Genomic DNA, 19854 nt, shown 5'->3' with positions numbered 1-19854 from the left:
ATGTGAAGTTTTTGAGGATAATCTTTTTGTTACTTTGATTCCACCTTGGTATGGTTTGGCTGTGCCCCCACTAAAATCTCATCTTGAACTCTGGTTCCCATAATACCCACATGTTGTGGGAGGGACCTTGTGGGAGGTGATTAGATTATAGGGACGTTTCCCCCCTTTGCTCTGTTCTTTTTCCTGCCACCATGTAAGAAAGATGTGTTTGCTTCCCCTTCTGCCATGATTGTAAATTTCCTGAGGCCTCCGCAGCCATGCAGGACCTCTTTTCTTTGTAAATTACCCAGTCTCCGGCGGTTCTTTATAGCTCCGTGAGAAAAAACTAATACACACCTCATGATGTATTGTTTACCACTGAAATTGTATGCTTAAATTTAATCTCACTTGGGACCCTGTACAACCTAGACTTAACATATCTACCTCCAGAGCAGTTACATCTGTCAGACATTCTAGAGGAATCAGCAGCACATGGACTTTGTTGTTGTTAATTTGTTGTCGGGGGAGGGGGGAGGGATAGCATTAGGAGATACACCTAATGCTAAATGACGAGTTAATGGGTGCAGCACACCAACATGGCACATGTATACATATGTAACAAACCTGCACGTTGTGCACATATACCCTAAAACTTAAAGTATAATAATAATAAAATTAAAAAAAAAAAGGTTCTGGGAGTATTCAGGTAGTATTAATGAAGATTCAGACATCGTGCAGCCAGGCCCATGCTTATGAATTTTCAGGTGATACTTCTTTTTCTTTTTTCTTAATTTAAAGCTGGATCTCGGAAACAGATAAATTTATTTTTTTATGACATGACGAGCATTTTTTTCATTCTAGTTCATGCTGTTATTGGGTGTTTAGTTCTTTGAGACTCCTGGCCTTTTTCTAAAACCTCAAGTTCAACTTCCTATTTTGCACTGGCCCAAGGTCCCATCTCCAGTCTCTATGTAAATGCTAAACATAAGCCTGTGGAATATTCTAGTCTCACCACATACTATTCACATTCTTCTTTGTTTTTGGTCTTCCAGGATTTTCCTTACTTTTCTATGAACCCAGTCTTGCATTTGAAATGGAATTTATTATATATTATCTATCCTTTCTATTTGTTTTATGCAGAAAGTGTTTTCTAAAATTATTTAGGCTTCCATATTGCTAGACATGGAAGTTGTAATTATTTGTTCAGTGCCTGTTTCTACATCTAAACTGCAAGACCCATATGGCAACTGTGAATCTTAGTCCCAGCTAATTTCTGAAGCTTAGAATAGTGCCTAGCACAAGAAGTTGTTTATCTAACATTTTTAAAAATAAATATTAAATTCATATCTGGAATGAATATTAAGTTAGAGCTGGTCATTGAGGTGAGAGGAGGAAGCCAAGAGAGAATATGAGAGCCTCAAAGCCAAATATCTTTAATGTACTTTTTCAGAAAAGAAGACAGCCAATGTCAGGTGGAGGAACTGGTTTATGAGGTAACTTTCCTGGAAGAAAATAGAAATTACTGAGGTTTTAGATAATCCAAATATTTAATCAAGTCACCAAGGTTTATTGTGGGGAATCTTTATTATTAATTAAAATGAGTGATGAAATCTTAATATACGACAAAAGTTAAAATTTGCTTTTGCAGGCAGATGAATGGTCTAGGTATCAAAAAATTAAGTTGAGTCTCTAACTCACACAAATTTACAACCCTATCACTTTATGAATTTGTTTAGGAGATTATTTTTAATAACACTGGTGAAGTCTAAGAATAGCTAAAATTTATAGTACACTTATTGTGTGCTATTGACTCTTCTTTGAAGTTTTGCATATAGTGATTCATCTAATCTTCATAACCCATTTTACATGTGAAGAAACTTAGATATAGAAAGATTAAGAAACTTACATAACTTATCCAAAGTTACACAGTAAAACTCTGGCATTATAACTTCAAAATCAGCTATCCTACAGTGAGTACAGTGTTCTGTGCATTGAAATCAAATAAGTGAGATAGCATCGTGATATAGTATTACGTATGCAAACACTGTTACAGAGATCTGTCTAAAGTTAAATTCCACAAATGAATTCTTTAAAAGGGTTTAATCAAGAAGAATATATAAACAGGATGGTGAAAAATTGTCATATTATTTGTTTTTTAAAATATCTTTATGATTTACAGGCAAGATGGTAGTGGTGTGAGAGCGGATGTTGTCATGAAATTTCAATTCACTAGAAATAACAATGGAGCATCAATGAAAAGCAGAATTGAGTCTGTTTTACGACAAATGCTGAATAACTCTGGAAACCTGGAAATAAACCCTTCAACTGAGATAACATGTAAGTATAATTTTTCATAAACAATTTTATTTCAATATATCCCTCAAGTTTACCAATTCAAATTCATATTTTAATTGAGAGGCTGACTTTTCTTTCTTTGAAACTAAACTGTGAAAACAATCCATTAAAAAGCTAAATATACCATATAGCTCCCTAACGTAAATCATTCTAAGACTTAAAGAATCATTTGGCATTTATATAGTAAATTTTATTTGCTAAAAATTCTCATTAATTATCCCTGCAACATTCCTTATGAGTGATGTTACTGTCAGATGTCATTAGTGGATAGGCCATAGGAGGGGTACATAGATGCTCAAGGTCAGAGAACTATTTAATTAATGATCCACCTCAGAGGCTTCTTCATTTTTCTTTGTAACATTTATCACAATTGAAATTACAAAGTTATCTGTGTAAATTTTGTATTGTTTGGCTTCATCCTACACTGTAATCATCCTAAAAGAAAGAACCAGTCAACCTTCTTCATCCTACTACCCTCCTACCACCCAGTCTCCATCATATAACACATATTCAATAAATAATTCTTGCATGACTGAAAGAAAAGAAATAATATATGCATAGAATTTAAGGACATTCCTCCAAGTTGGTTACATTCTGCTAGTTTAATAAGCCATTATTTCTTCTCGATGAGCTCAAGATTAAAAGGATTTTGATGATTCCCATACTAGACTGGTAGGTACCAGTTACAGATGTACTAACTGTTAAATATTGAAATGCTTTCCTATTTGTTGGTAAACAATTACTGCATCAGGCCCACAAAGTTGTCTTCCGAGATGTTTCAAATCCACTGCCCCTGCTGCTAAAGAGTTATGCTTAGCAAAGCAAAGCACTCTAAGACACTGCTCCAACTCCATGGCCTGATTGCATCTTTTATGACTGGCCAATGCTCACGCACTGCAGTTTGTTAGGTAGTTGAATATTACCTCTGCTTCCACACATTAAGGAATGCTCCCGAACGCACTTCCCAAGTGTTTATTTATTTATCATTATACTAGACAATATGGTGATACGATGGTCACAGAATAGCGGTTTCCACCTCCAGAGCCCATAATCTAGTTGAAGGGAAAGATATTCCAACACAAGAGTGTTGACAATCAAGATAGAATATGATCAAGGGCCCAGTGTGAGGCCCAGGCAATGATCACTGCAGGAATCTGGGGAAGAAAGAGACCAGCGTGCTTGGGATATCTAGCAAAAGTTTCATGAAGGAGAATGGACTTTGACTTTGAAATATGGGTAGGATTTACATATTTTGAGATGAGAAAAAGAAAGTTCCCAGAGAAGGAAAGCATGAAAAGGCAAACAGTCTGTACTGAACGCGATGCTTTGACAGAATAATGAAGAAAGGGACCTGCTGGAATGATTGATCAGTGTTCATCATTCACACCATCATCATCAAAACACTTATTTAATGAGAACTTACTGTTTTTTAGGCATGGCTTTAATGCCCTATATGAATTTTTTTCTTGATTAATCCTTACAACAAACATATCCCATAGATAGTTTTATTGTCCCCCTTAGAAAAGATAAATTGCCTAGGCTGACACAGTCAGTATATGAGGCAGTCAGGATTCAAACTAAGTCTGTTTGTTCAAAAAATTAAGAATGGCCAGCTTTTTAAAATTTTCTGTCTCCAGAAGTATGATTTGGCTCCACTGAAGTTTGCAAAACAAATGTGATACCCAAACCTTGTGAAACTTTTAGTGGGAAATAACTTTGCATAAGTCGGTTTGAGAGAGCGTGGAAACCTGTCTTGAAAAGTTTTAATTTAACTTGCAGGAAATAAAAATGATGGGTTTCTCAATTAAAAATTTCAATCAAGGAAGGATATGAGCTAACATAACATTTTTTTAAAAAGATCAGTCTGGTAAGGTAGAGGTGCATAAACTGAAAAGGAGCAAAAGTGGTGGAATTCAGTTAGAAAATTATTGTAACTGTACTGATGTCAAATGATGAAACCATGAACTAAAGTAGTACCAAAAGGAGTGAGGAGGATGGAATAATTCAAAAGATAGAGGACAGATGTGCAGAACCTGGAGATTATAAGATGTGAAAGGAGGAGTTTGAGAAAATTTCAGATTTTGGAAGTGGTGTCATTTTACTAAAAGGATATAATAAGTAGCAAATTTTGGATAAAGTTGGGTCCCACTGAGTTTGAGATGGCTGTTGGACATGCAGAGAAAACTGTCTTGTATGCTGTTCTTAAATTGAAATAGACAGACCTTTACCCTCTGATACTGACATATTTTCCTTTCCAGGCTCACCCTCCATTTCCCTAAACACAACACATGCACTAGCTCTCCTTACTTTATTGCTCCACAAACATCTTACACCTCCAAGCATTTGTGCCCACTGTACCTTCTATCTGGAATCTCTTTTGTCCTCTTGTGTGCCTGAAAAATTCCTTTCAGATCTTCAAAATACAGTGCAGATGCTATTTCTTCTAGCTCAAATATTATCTCCTCCATATAATTTAATTACTCTCTTTTTTCTTTTCTCTACTTTGCACTTACATTTATTTGAATGATTGCTTGATTAATTTCTACCTGTAAATTATGTGAGGGCAGGTCCTCTATATTTTGCTCGCAGTTAAATCTGCAGCACTTATTATAGAGTGGTATCATTAGAGTAATATACATATATTTGAGGACATGATAAATTAACTTCCCCTATAGTATTTATCACATTGCATCTCAATGACTTGCTTATGTTTCTGTTTTCCCATATAAATTGAGTAACTTGAAAAAAGAGATATCTATTAAGTATTTAATGAGAAATTAAAGTACAAACTTTAGTATGCATAACAACAAATTGGGAAAAGGTTGTAAACAAAGAGATTTGTAGGGCCCATGAGTTAGAGATCGTTTCAGCAGGTCTGAAAGGAAGCCTAGGAATCTGCATTTTAGAGGACCACCTCCCAACCCCAACAAGTAATTCTGCTTCTTGTTGTCTGGGTACTGTACTTTAAGAAATTATGGTGAAATGATATCAGCCTTTATTGTATTTATCTTATTCTCATTTTTTAATACTAGCACTTACTGACCAGGCTGCAGCAAATTGGCTTATTAATGGTAAGTTTTAATATTATTTTGTAACTGTAATTTGCCAAATCATAAAGAGTAAAAGTGCAAGTCTTTTGTGTACTTTTGGCCAAGGCAGTATCTATCAAGTTGATGTCTTTGTTCTTAGTTCGCTCAGGTGGTGTTGAAACAAGACAGTGCTGATCCCAAGTGTCCCATGGAGTGGACTTTAGGTTTCCCCTTTCCTTTTAGAAAAAGGAAGAAGTTGTAGTGGAGGACTACCCACTCTGCACTCAAAATTGCCCTCATGAAAATTTCTTTGGCAGCTTTGAGAACCTTTTACTGCCCTGGTTCTAAGGTGGCATTTCTGTAGACTTACAAATTATGTTTGATGACACCGTTTATGTAGCTTCTCCTAACCACCAGAGTAGCTTGCTTTGTTGTGAATTCAGGTTAATCACAAAGTATAATAAAAAAGAATTGTCAGAAGTCTTCCCAGCTTTGGGTCTATAACCTGAAGGAAAAGTCACTACTCTTCAACATCATCCTATGTACTCTCAGGCTAGGATAGCAGAAATGCAATCCCTAGAAAACAGCAACTTACTTCTCTGACCAAAAAAATGCAGTTAAAAATTAGTTCAATGTACCTGGTAGCTGGCCTATCTTAGGTACTTCAGTGATTTTACAAAGTGATGGTAGTCCTATGGGTGTTTTTCAGCTTCACTACGTATTTAATTCATGCTTATTGTTAATGAAACTGTGATAAGCAATTTACTAGGGTATTTGTTTGGGAGATGCCACAAAGGAACACATGTATCTCTTAATGGAAGCCTGGTCCTCCTTTATCCAGGAAATTTGCTAGGAAAAAAAAGCCTTTAGGTGGTTGTGCTATTAAACCAGGGCACTACTTAAAAGCCAGCCCAGCAATAGTTGTGTGATTTACCATTAATTTCTTAGTAATAGACCACACAAAAGAAGAAAATTATGGGAATGCGAGTTGAGAGGAATTGGGTGATCAGCCTACCCCAGCCCGTTTCAGCTCTGGCCAGTAGACTATTCACGAGCTCTTTGAAAACATTTAAATAAACCTTATTTAGATACTAGAAACCCTCTGTCACCCTCAAGAATATTCTGTGGTATAGCGACTCCTTTATGAGGGCATGTTTGGTAATACAGCATCAGTCTTGGAGGTGGACTGGATTCTACAAGGTGAACTGCAGTCACTAAGGAGTCTTTTGGATGAGACCAGTTTTCCTCCAACTTCAATGTGTGCATGAACCTCACATCAAAATGTAGCTTTAGATTTGTCCCATGATGTGGTTCCAAGAATCAGCACTTCTAATAAGTTTCCAGGGGATGCCCATGCTGCAGGCCCACAAACCACACTGAGCATAGCAAGACTATTGAGAAAAAGGAAATTTCCCAGGAGTCTGTGGCCTGAGCTGGCACATCCAATAATGACCTATCTTAACCTCAACTCATGAGGAATTCCAGGGAACTCTGAAGCTGCTCAAAATTTGAAGCCTATATGCCAACTAAATTCAGAAATGTTCTCCAAAATGCTATCTATAAGCAACAGTAGTCACAAATGCATTGTAGAAATATATCGATCATGCTTTTTGGAAAATCCAGCATGTCCTGAGGAAGAATGTATAAGACATAAAAGTCATAAATTATGGAAAGACTCTTCAGCTTCTTCCAAATGTAAAGGAATCATGATCTTCCCAGCACATTAATGCCCTTTCTCATTAGAATGTGGGGCCGGTCCAGACCTAATAACATTGTCTGAGCAGAGAATCCTTGGAGGCACTGAGGCTGAGGAGGGAAGCTGGCCGTGGCAAGTCAGTCTGCGGCTCAATAATGCCCACCACTGTGGAGGCAGCCTGATCAATAACATGTGGATCCTGACAGCAGCTCACTGCTTCAGAAGGTGAGGCCACCACTACCTACCCATCTGGGAACAATTAGAATAGACAGGTCATGAAGACTGCACCCTCTACCCTAGGATTGAATTGAGCCAGAAATAATTCAATGCAAAAAAATCAGTAAGAATTTTCTTCCTATTCATGAAAGGAAAAGGATTTTTCCCCTTTAGCATGCTAATTTAGTGCTATTTCTCTGTTTCAGGTAATAATATATTAGCACAGTAAAGAACAAAGATTTATATGTCAGAATGTTTTTTAAATCCTAGCTATAAAAGCTTAAGAAATTTACTAAATCTCCATAAGCTTTATTTTTTTTCCAAATTAAGGGACAACACTGTTATCTGTGACTTAGTGTTACTGGTAGCATTGAGTACACTAATGTAAACATACGTTAAATGTTAGCGAAACGAATTGCTGTGGAAGATTTGCACATTATATCATGGGAGCTGATGGCTAACCTAGAGACTGCCCCATGCCATTAATTTATTCATTCATAAAGATTATTGAGTATCTAGTATGAGCACAGTGTTATATATTGTAGAAGCTACTAGTATAAACAAAGTATTGCCTCTGCCTTCAAAGAGCTTACACTCGAATGTTGGAATCAGAATGCACAAAAATAATGATCAATTACAATGAGTAGCATAAATAAAATTAATGTAGGCAACTTACAAGAATTCTTAATTGAGGTGACTAAACTATTGCCAACACTAGGGTGATATGCTACCAGTGGCGAGTAGGTTGCATAAACTTACCTTATTGGTAAAAAGAAAAGTTCACATTGCTCATAAAAGAAGGATTTTAGATTTCAGCATAACTAAAATCTGTTTCAAACCTGCCTTGTTACTGGGGCATCGCAGACCACAACAGTTGTTGGGAACTTAACTCAAAAAGTTCACCCAGAAAAATAATGGAGATTTGAACTCGTGTGCCCCTGACCATATCAATTTTCTTCTCAGACTCTTACTCTAAACTGGACCTCCTTATCACACACACAAAGCCTTCCATAGGCAGATCAATCCAGTCTTATTTCTCAAAGCATGTACCTTGAGCTTCAGATAAACAGCATTGTTCTCTTCCCCTGGACTCTTCCTACATTTCCCTACCTATGAGTATCTGATCAATCTGCTTATCCTTGAAATGTTAATATATTTACCACATCTCTATTTGAATTTTATGAAATTTTTGATAATTTCTAAGTAGTTTTTTCAGATTTATAGGCACTACTTCATGGTACAGTGACTGTTACAAACGTATTTGTTAAATTTAGAAGGAATAAAGATTTAAAAGACTAGGGTAGTTACTGAACTAAAGTTTTAGGAAATCCCAAATTATTTCAAATTTTTCTTATGGTAATTTTATGACTTAATATTTTTATATGCAGTGAACAAATTTGAAACTTTAAAAGATACTCCCAGAATTATCAGTTTTCTGATGTAGATTGGCAAATTTATTACTATATCCCAAATAACCCAAGAGACAAAATTCACAAAAACATTTCAATTTTCATTGCCACTTGAAAGGCCAAAAAGCAGAAATGGCACGCATTGATTTCAATCGTACTCTTGAGTGTGGGAACCAGGAATTAAAATACCTGGACTTATCAGGCACTTAGCATAACCAAGAACGGAATAGAAACCTCCCTGGATTCTAAGCCCTATTCAGTCCCAATCACCAAAAACCAAGTAAACGATATCACTATAATGAAAGCCACAGTTATAAATATCGACAACGATTACCAAAGGAATCCATGGAACTTTGAATTTTGCCACCCCACATCCTTCTATTCATTACCATGATTGATCCACTAAAGCTAACAGACTCTGTGAACCTTGTATTGGACCCCTCCCTAAAGACCTGATTGTCACTGAGAACCATCAGTGAGGATTTGTTTGGGGCATGACCAGCCTTACATCAAAGTACATAGAAGTGATGAGGTCTTATCAAAGAGGATTATTGAATTATCACCTCTTCTATGTAGCTTTCCCTGATACTCTCTTTCCTCTCCATTGAGTTCCACAGAAATTTTTTTATCTGCCTTTAACAGTTGTCCTCATGATTTGTGATATTTGACTTACCTCTTGTCAGTTTCCTTCACTAGTGTAGAGTTCCTCAAAGAAAGAGACCATAATTACTTATATTTTTATTCCTGGAGACTCATACTATTCCTTATACAAAGTAGACACTTAACAATGGCTTGTTGAACTATAATTAATGAAAATAATAGCTACCTTCATGAAAGTTCACTTTGTGCCAAACACTATAGTTGACATAATACATTTGTCTCATTAATACTTAACAATTGTGTGAGAAGGTATCACCAATCACATTTTATATGTAAATAAACCCCAGAGCTATTAATTAACTTGTCATAAATAACACTTTTCATATGTGGCATAGCCAAGATTTAAATATAAATGTTACTGGTTCCAAAATGATGCTCTAATTCACTTGCTGGAAAGAAGGAAAGGAAGAAAATAAACGAGTGGAAGGAAGAGAGGGAGGGAAGAGAGAAAAGGAAGGAAAGAAAAAAGAGTCTCTTCAGAACCTTCACTGTAAAGACTCCGAGCAAAAGAAGTTGAATATAAAAACAACATAGGTTTGTTTGTTTTCTAATATTTTTTCTTCAAAATTTTTAACTCAGGTTCACTCTTACACAAACTACTGTGTCTTATAAAAGTATTTCCGGTCATAGAATTTTTATTTTCTGTATTAACTCCACTATCTAATCTCCATAAAACTCCTAAATTGGTATTATCGGTAACATTTTGTTTTTACTCAACCCTTAGGAACAATGTTAAGTTAATCAGCCCTCCACATCACAGATCCTTATTTTCATCAGTCTGTACAAGGCATTTCTCTCATTTTAATTTTTTTTCCTCCTGTCATCCCTGGATTTCACTTTCACTGCCCTCCTTCCACCCATATGCCTCATACTAATATATTCGAAATATACATGTCTTAAAGGTACATGCACGCACCTACAAAACCTATAGTGTTTTTTTGTATGTATATGTCTTTAATTTAAATAAGTAGCATTGTGTAAAAGTCTAATATTGTTTCTTACTGTTTTCACTCAATTCTTGGAATTTTCATCTGATGCACTGCTGCATAGCACCCCATGGTATGCAGCCACCATATTTCCTTCATCCAATTAGGTTGCATGACCTACCTTCCCATTGCCACAAAGAGTACACACAAAATATTTGTACTTATCTTTCTGTAAACCTTCAGGAATTTCAGAAGCACACATGCAGGCTGCTAAATATACCAGAATACTTTCCAGCCACTTAAATCTTTACCAGTATTGCAAAAGAGGCCCCATTTCCCTCCACATCAACATTTAGTATTATTCTTTTGTTTAAGTTTTATCAATCTTTTAAATGTACACAAGATGCTCATTTTTATAATTTTAATTTCTCAGATTACTAGTTTGAGTATCTTTTCATATATCTAAGAGCTGTTTTGATCTCCCCTACCATGAACTGCCACTAATATTCTTTGCCTATTTTACAATGGTTTTTCTGCTTATTTATTACTGGTTTACAGACTTTTAAAATATATTCTACAAAAATTTTAGACATTAAACATTACCAATATTTTCCCATGGTTCCTCATCCATCTGGTAAACTTGTCTATGGTATATCTAATTTTGATTTAATAGAATTCATTCTATTTTTACCTTTTAGTTTGTGTTTTTGTTGTTTAGCCAAAAAGTCCCCATTCCTAGGTCATAAAGGTAATGTCCTTTTTTTTTTTTTAACGCTACTGTTCTCTCTCTGTCTCCCCCTATGTATATAGGTGCACATATACTTGTACACACATACATATACCTATATATGAGGGGAGTTCGATAAGTTTATGGAAAATAAAATTAAAAGATAAAATAAAAAATTATAAACTTTATTTCTCAACATAAGCTCCTTCAAGTTCAAGACACTTTTGTAAGCAATAATACCAGCCATATCGTCCATCCCTAAAGAACTGAGGGTCCTGAGAATTTAACTATGTCAATGCAGTCTTTTTTACATTACTTTTTTACAGTACTTATTGATGAAAAATGGGTGCCTTTTAAAGATTGTTTTAAGATTAGGGAACAAAAATAAGTCAGAGGAAGTCAAATCAGGACTGAAAGGTGGATGCCTAGTGATTTATTGCTGAAACTTTCATAAAACTAACCTTATTTGATGAGAGGAATGAGCATGAGCATGGTTGTGATGGAGAAGAACTCTGGTGGAGCTTTCCTGGACACTTTTTCTACTAAAGCTTTGGCTAACTTTCTTACTCTCATAAGAAGAAGATGTTATTTTTCACTGACCCTTTAGAAGGTCAACAAGCAAAATGCCTTCAGCATCCCAAATGTCTGTTGTCATGACTTTTGTTCTTGACTAGTCTGGTTTTGCTTTGACTGGACCACTTCTACCTCTTTATAGCCATTGCTTTGATGGTGCTTTGTCTTCAAGATTGTATTAGTAAAGCCATATTTCATCTTCTGTTACAATTCTTCAAAGAAATACTTCAGAATCTTGATCTGACATGTTTAAAATTTCTATTGGAAGCTCTGACCTTGGGTGCAGCTGATCTGGGCGAAACAGTTTTGGCATCCATCAAGTAGAAAGTTTGCTCAACTTTAGTTTTTCAGTCAGAATTGTATAAGCTGAACCAGTTGAGATGTCTATGGTGTTGTCTATTGTTTCTCACAGTTAATTGTTGGTCCTCTTTGAGACATGAACAAGATGAAATTTTTCCTAGCAAACTGATGTGGATGATCTGTTGCTGCGGGCTTCACCCTCAACAACATCTCTTTCTTTCTTGAAACAAATTATCCATTAGTAAACTGATGATTGGGGGAGATGCTGTCCCCATAAACTTTTTGTAAGGCATAAATAATTTCACCATTCTTCCAGTTTCACCATAAATTTGACGTTTTTTTGCTTCAATTTTAGCAGCATTCATGTTGCTTTGATAAGAGCTCTTTTCAAATTCATGTCTTATTCCTCTTAGTGCCTCAAACTAGATCTTGTTCAGTATGACAAGTTAGTATGAGTTTATCTGCATGCAAAAATCTTTGAAATCCATGCATAGTTTGTTTATAATATACATTTTCAATGAACTTTTGAAGACCCCATACATACATATGTATATATATGCACACACACACACACACACACACCAAAATCTTCAACCATTATCAGACTTAGTGCAGAAAAATTATTCATCCATTAACAAGATAAGAATGCCCCTTATCATCACTACTATTTAAATGGAGCTCCTGGCTAAAGGAAAAGACAGGGATTGAAAAAAATTAGTTAAATCTAAAATGTTTATTATTTCAGGTTTCTTAGTTGCTTAAATGGGAAGGGAGGTATGGACAAAAGAGAAATCAAAGATATTTGTGTTATGCTACTTATCATTAAAGTATCAGAATAACTTCATTGGAATAGAAAAACACCAAGATCACCCCACGATATGTTTTCTAAAATCTTCTCCATTTCTTTAGACAAGTGACCATGTATTCGGCCAGTGAAGAATTAAACTCACTTGCCAGCTTATAATGCAGGAAAATATAGCAAAGAGATGTGGATCCAATAGTTTCTAGATAGTGGTACAGGATGGCTAAGATGAATTTATATATCTGAAATGTTCACAAATTCCCTACTCATATAGCATGTTTTCATAATGTTTTAGCAACTCTAATCCTCGTGACTGGATTGCCACGTCTGGTATTTCCACAACATTTCCTAAACTAAGAATGAGAGTAAGAAATATTTTAATTCATAACAATTATAAATCTGCAACTCATGAAAATGACATTGCACTTGTGAGACTTGAGAACAGTGTCACCTTTACCAAAGATATCCATAGTGTGTGTCTCCCAGCTGCTACCCAGAATATTCCACCTGGCTCTACTGCTTATGTAACAGGATGGGGCGCTCAAGAATATGCTGGTAAGTGTCTCGGAAAAAAAAATTAACAATAGAAATGTCTTATATTTGCTATTAGGTAATTTTTTAAATTAGGAAACATCTGGAATAGGTGTTTCTATTCTTCTACAGACAGAACCATTCTATATTCTGCTCAGCCCAAGCTCTGGCTACCCCTGAGTCTCCTTAGCAAAGCAAAGCAATGCTCCAGAAACTATGGGAATTCTCAAATATAGTAATAGGAAAATGTAAAAGAAAGTTATGAAGACACGAGTTCTTTAATAATCCAGAGATTCTATAAGATTCAAATAGCTTCCCTATAAACAATAAAAAAGATTTTGTTTGTTTGTTTGTTTGCTTGTTTTTTAGAGACAAAGACTTTCTCAGACTGGAGTGCAGTGGTGCAATCATGGCTTACTGCAGCCTCAAACTCTGGTCTTAAGAAATCCTCTTGCTTCAGCCTCCCAAGTAGCTAGAATTATAAATAAGTGTGTACCACCATACCCAGCTTTTTTTTTTTTTTTCTACAGACAGGTTCTTGCTCTGTTGCCCAGGCTGGTCTGGAATTCCTGCCCTCAAGCCATCCTCCTGCCTTGTTGGCCTCCCAAAGCAATGGGAGGATTTAGATTAGACATTGTATGAGGGCTTAATAATCCTTAAGGTATTAACTGCCCTTTAAAGTATTCTGGGATATGGCAAAAACTCGATGTGTATATAAACATTGGTCATATTTGTTTATTGAATGAATAAAATGGAAACTAAAATGAGGACAATGCACAAGAGCTACTAGAACCAGTAAGAGTATCAGCGAAGGAGTGGAAGGGTAGCATTGACAATTTCCCTGGGCTTTTACCCATGTTGTAGATTGTCTCTCCAAGGAATAATACAAAGCCTTAATAGTCCTAGAACACATTCTATTGTGTTCTTATGGCCCAAAGTAAATTGGTGTAGTAGATAACATTTGCACCAGTCATGAAAAACTATTGGTGTCATTCTGAGAGTACATCAATATAAAATAGACTAGTTCTTTAGCCTTGAAACTAGACTGGTTTCTCTTTTGCTGCTAGGTTAAAGGTTATTCAATATGTAATCTTCCAATCCAAAATCTGTCAGTGGATAATTTAAAAGCTTTTAGTCAATTTTAAGATATTTGTTTTCTTAAAATTTTAAGGGGCACTGTGTCACAAAGCTAAAGAAAAAAAAGAAAAAAAAACTGATCTGTGAAAGGGGTTATCCTCATCTACTTGGGGAATTTTGGCTGCGAAGAAACTCCAAAGTAAATCTTTAGAAGCCTTCATTGTTAAATATGAAATAATGTTTGGAGTACATTTATTTCTTCTCAAATTTATTATAGGGTCAATAATGTACACATCTTGAAGTCCATTTTTTTCCTGCTTTTATAACAAACAGGCCACACAGTTCCAGAGCTAAGGCAAGGACAGGTCAGAATAATAAGTAATGATGTATGTAATGCACCACATAGTTATAATGGAGCCATCTTGTCTGGAATGCTGTGTGCTGGAGTACCTCAAGGTGGAGTGGACGCATGTCAGGTAAGCTCAAGACAATCTCATCCATGTCATCATCCAAGAAGTGTATAAGCACTTCCTAGTATGTGATAATGTGATAGACATAAGTGTAACAGTTACAATACACAGCCCTGTTCCTCTAAAATTTATAATCTAGATTTTAGAAATAAATTTTTTTATGAATGAAGTTTATCTATCATGAAAGCATTAACTCTGAGAGGCCAAATTACAGAGTAGTTAACCATCCAAAGCTCAAGAATCAGAAAGACCTCGATTTGAATTCCTTAACCTCTATTACCAAGTCTCTAACTAAAAGCTGGGGATAATCATAATAGCACCTAACTTTTTGGGTACTAAGAAAAGTTAAATGAAGACTAAATATATCAGGCACATGGTAAACAACAAAGAAATCTCATCTATTTCACTATTATTAATGTAGACCATGGTCACTCGTGTTAATAACTTTAACCTCAACCTTTTAACTGCTGTGAAGGATTAAATAAAAAATTAATCACTATATTATAAAAATTAATTGATATATAATAAATGAATTTTAAGAGATACGTAATAATTCATGGACTCCTTGAAGATAGAAAATTTATACAAAATCCTAGTAATTTGAGTCACAAAAGCTCCTACAATAATGAAACAGTATGAATGAAAAAGAAAAGAAATAACTATTATATTTGGATCTAGCCCATAATTTTTAACCAAATGCACAAAAACAAACAACAAATATGAAATTCTCACTGTAAAGTGATTAAAATCAAATTTGAATTCTAAAATTTTAAATTAAATTATCTAAACATAATTGATGCAGTTATATGTTTTAATAGGTTTTGTTCACATATCTGAAATCCAACTCCACACAGTAGCAGGAACAGCTGGTGTCAGAAATTAAATATTCTTTTAGTCTGGAGTTTTAAAAAATCAATCTGTTTACTTGAGTAATTTGTTGCTGTTTTCATGGGTGAATTGTATACAGAAGGATAAGAATTATTCTTCGCATCAAAAGGTCACTGACTTTCATATTTAGTGCTCATGGTCTTTAAAAAGTGGATAAAAAGTAGTTCTCACATTTCATGGAAAGCCCCCAATCCATGAGCACATTTCCCAAAATGAAACATTTTTATCAACTGCAAGTTGTGTGTAGGTGGAGATTTGTTTTTCAATTGTCAAGATACTGTTAATTACCCAGTCCTTTATCTCCTTTTGGTGGAGATGTCTCTGTGCTAGGAAACCCTTCTTGCTCTCCTTCCTGTTTCTCTTTTACTACTGGCCCTGAAACAACAAATTCTCAAGTTTCATGACAGCTTTCCAAAGAATCCATCAATCAAATAAGCAACACAACTCGACACTGACAATTCCAGACCTACTAAGAGCATTAATTAAGACTTAAAAATAAACATGAGTTTTAAAAGGGTGTTATTCATTATTTTCCCATTTATAACGTCCCTTACCTTCTGTCCTTCAGTGCATACAAATTATTATCTTCCTTGAAGCCCAGTTCAAGCCGTACCTCACCATGATACCTTCCATGTATATTCCACTCTAGGCCTCACTGATTTTTAACTGAAATACTATAATGCATAGTTCACACTTAAAAAAAAAAAAAAAACACAGCACTTTACATAAGAGCTTACAGGATCCTATTTGTTTTATCCATTCTTTTGTTCATTTTTACAATCATTAATTCAAAGGAATTATATTAATTACTTTCTATGCACCCGACGTTGTGTTAACACAACAATACTATCCCTGCATTCAGCAAGTCTATGGTCTACAAGAGAGGACACAAATTCAAATGTCTGTAGTCAAGCAGTGAAGCTGGCTAGATATGGAAAAATTACAAGTCCCTCTTGCTTTAACATTTGCTTGCCCACATTTGGTCAGACATCATGCAAAATAATTTCTCACTATAGAAAAAAAAACACTACAAAAACAATAATATAAAGAACTGAGAACTGGTTAACTGAAGCATGCATATGTCATCTAAAAGAAGCAGGTGACGACCAGCTTCATGAAGTACTTGCCATGCATATTGGCACTTCACACACTGACCCTTCTCCCCACCTAGACCAGTAATTAAACAGGTATGGATGAGCTAGCTACTAAGAGCAGCCAACTGAATAGCTGACTAACTTAGAAGCACACTTGGTAATAATAGCTGACTTTTATTAGTACTGACTATACTATATGCTAAGCTGTACTCAAAGTGCTTTGAGTTTTAAACTGATACAAACATTATATGAGGAAACAGAGGTACAGAGAGCTATTCACCAGCTTACCAAAGGTCACATAGCTGGTAAGTGGAGGACTTAAACCCAGACTATCTAGTTTCAGAACCCACAGACTTAATCCATCGTGCAGAACATAAGACATACTCCATCTGTCTCCCCAACTAGGTTATTATGTGCACAAATATTTATTGGTTGGTTGGTTCATTATTATGACTGGGTGGTAAGTATGTCATTAGGAGTGTTTTGCTTATGACTATATAAATTTCTTCACCAAAAGAAGACTTTCTGATGATATACTATGCATCAGACACCACGCAGGGTGCTAAGGTTAGGAAGATAAGTGAGACTTCTAGAAACTCATTCATTCAACAAATATCTCCTAAGGGCTAGAAGCTTAGGTTTCAGCAGTGAACAGAATAGGTATGTTCTCTTTCGTGTTGGACCTTATAGTATATCTGGGAAAACAGACATTGAATAAATATCACAAATGCAAGTGAGTGTTTCAGAGACATGCAGCTGCTACATCAAAACAAAACAGAACAAAACAAACAAACAAAAACTGACCAGTGGGATTAAGTGTAAATAGGCACACAAATGCACAAATATGCTTTTATAAAATAGTGAAGCAGTGACAGAGACACACACAAGATATAAAGACACAATGAAGAACAATTGAGCCCAAAGCTGGAAAGGGTGAGAGTGTGAAGGAAAAAGGTTGATCAGAGAAGTTTTCCCGAAGGAGAGAAAGCCTGGATGATTAGGAGGCAACCACTCGGTGACTGAGGGAAATCTGAAAAATGTATTTGTCATCTTCTCAGACTTGCTGAAGGAATGACTTGGGTACTTTGAGGATTTCAGTAATTTTTCCATGACTTGGTATAATATTTCAAAAGGAAATAGGCTGACTTTATTTGTATAATGAATGTGACTCCTTCCTCGACTGCCATAGAAATAAACTCCTTAATATTTTGGGTTTGTCTTTGCACTTAAGTAATCAGTCATTCTGTTTTTTTACAGGGTGACTCTGGTGGCCCACTAGTACAAGAAGACTCACGGCGGCTTTGGTTTATTGTGGGGATAGTAAGCTGGGGAGATCAGTGTGGCCTGCCGGATAAGCCAGGAGTGTATACTCGAGTGACAGCCTACCTTGACTGGATTAGGCAACAAACTGGGATCTAGTGCAACAAGTGCATCCCTGTTGCAAAGTCTGTATGCAGGTGTGCCTGTCTTAAATTCCAAAGCTTTACATTTCAACTGAAAAAGAAACTAGAAATGTCCTAATTTAACATCTTGTTACATAAATATGGTTTAACAAACACTGTTTAACCTTTCTTTATTATTAAAGGTTTTCTATTTTCTCCAGAGAACTATATGAATGTTGCATAGTACTGTGGCTGTGTAACAGAAGAAACACACTAAACTAATTACAAAGTTAACAATTTCATTACAGTTGTGCTAAATGCCCGTAGTGAGAAGAACAGGAACCTTGAGCATGTATAGTAGAGGAACCTGCACAGGTCTGATGGGTCAGAGGGGTCTTCTCTGGGTTTCACTGAGGATGAGAAGTAAGCAAACTGTGGAAACATGCAAAGGAAAAAGTGATAGAATAATATTCAAGACAAAAAGAACAGTATGAGGCAAGAGAAATAATATGTATTTAAAATTTTTGGTTACTCAATATCTTATACTTAGTATGAGTCCTAAAATTAAAAATGTGAAACTGTTGTACTATACGTATAACCTAACCTTAATTATTCTGTAAGAACATGCTTCCATAGGAAATAGTGGATAATTTTCAGCTATTTAAGGCAAAAGCTAAAATAGTTCACTCCTCAACTGAGACCCAAAGAATTATAGATATTTTTCATGATGACCCATGAAAAATATCACTCATCTACATAAAGGAGAGACTATATCTATTTTATAGAGAAGCTAAGAAATATACCTACACAAACTTGTCAGGTGCTTTACAACTACATAGTACTTTTTAACAACAAAATAATAATTTTAAGAATGAAAAATTTAATCATCGGGAAGAACGTCCCACTACAGACTTCCTATCACTGGCAGTTATATTTTTGAGCGTAAAAGGGTCGTCAAACGCTAAATCTAAGTAACGAATTGAAAGTTTAAAGAGGGGGAAGAGTTGGTTTGCAAAGGAAAAGTTTAAATAGCTTAATATCAATAGAATGATCCTGAAGACAGAAAAAACTTTGTCACTCTTCCTCTCTCATTTTCTTTCTCTCTCTCTCCCCTTCTCATACACATGCCTCCCCCACCAAAGAATATAATGTAAATTAAATCCACTAAAATGTAATGGCATGAAAATCTCTGTAGTCTGAATCACTAATATTCCTGAGTTTTTATGAGCTCCTAGTACAGCTAAAGTTTGCCTATGCATGATCATCTATGCGTCAGAGCTTCCTCCTTCTACAAGCTAACTCCCTGCATCTGGGCATCAGGACTGCTCCATACATTTGCTGAAAACTTCTTGTATTTCCTGATGTAAAATTGTGCAAACACCTACAATAAAGCCATCTACTTTTAGGGAAAGGGAGTTGAAAATGCAACCAACTCTTGGCGAACTGTACAAACAAATCTTTGCTATACTTTATTTCAAATAAATTCTTTTTAAAATAATTTCCCTGCCTAATTATTTATGGAAGTTATGACTTTTGAAGGACAATTCAAAACCATTTATTTAATTGGTTCTGCAATGAAAGAACTGCCCCATATACTCTACTAAAGGCTTGGCACTTTCTGCTGCCTTTTAATCCAGCGCTATAATTGAGGCAAGCGTCCAGCTTGACACTCCTCAGTTGCACCCTGTGAAGACAACATTGAACTGGTAATTTAGGGTAAGTCTCAAGGGGAGGGAGACT

General features: G+C 35.5%; 1 protein-coding gene across 2 annotated transcripts in view; it reads left to right on the top strand.

Annotated features, from left to right (window-relative positions):
* The window catches only part of TMPRSS11D (transmembrane serine protease 11D), a 63127-nt gene extending 43515 nt beyond the window's left edge, over window positions 1–19612 (top strand). Inside the window, exons 5-10 of one of the 2 annotated variants that reach the window (NM_004262.3) lie at window positions 2159–2316; window positions 5367–5405; window positions 7107–7284; window positions 12968–13227; window positions 14614–14756; window positions 17990–19612. In NM_004262.3, the coding sequence (NP_004253.1) occupies window positions 2159–2316; window positions 5367–5405; window positions 7107–7284; window positions 12968–13227; window positions 14614–14756; window positions 17990–18151 (940 nt within the window). In that variant the 3' untranslated portion in view covers window positions 18152–19612. Of the gene's footprint in view, window positions 1–2158; window positions 2317–5366; window positions 5406–7106; window positions 7285–12967; window positions 13228–14613; window positions 14757–17989 lie in introns of those variants that run through there. The other variant, XM_017008851.2, reaches the window with a different exon arrangement.
* Window positions 19613–19854: the final 242 nt, after the last annotated feature.

This window comes from Homo sapiens, chromosome 4, assembly GCF_000001405.40.
Source record: "Homo sapiens chromosome 4, GRCh38.p14 Primary Assembly".
NCBI classification, from domain to species: domain Eukaryota; kingdom Metazoa; phylum Chordata; class Mammalia; order Primates; family Hominidae; genus Homo; species Homo sapiens.
The sequence above is the reverse complement of the archived record's forward strand: the minus strand, read 5'-3'. Positions and strand labels throughout refer to the sequence as shown.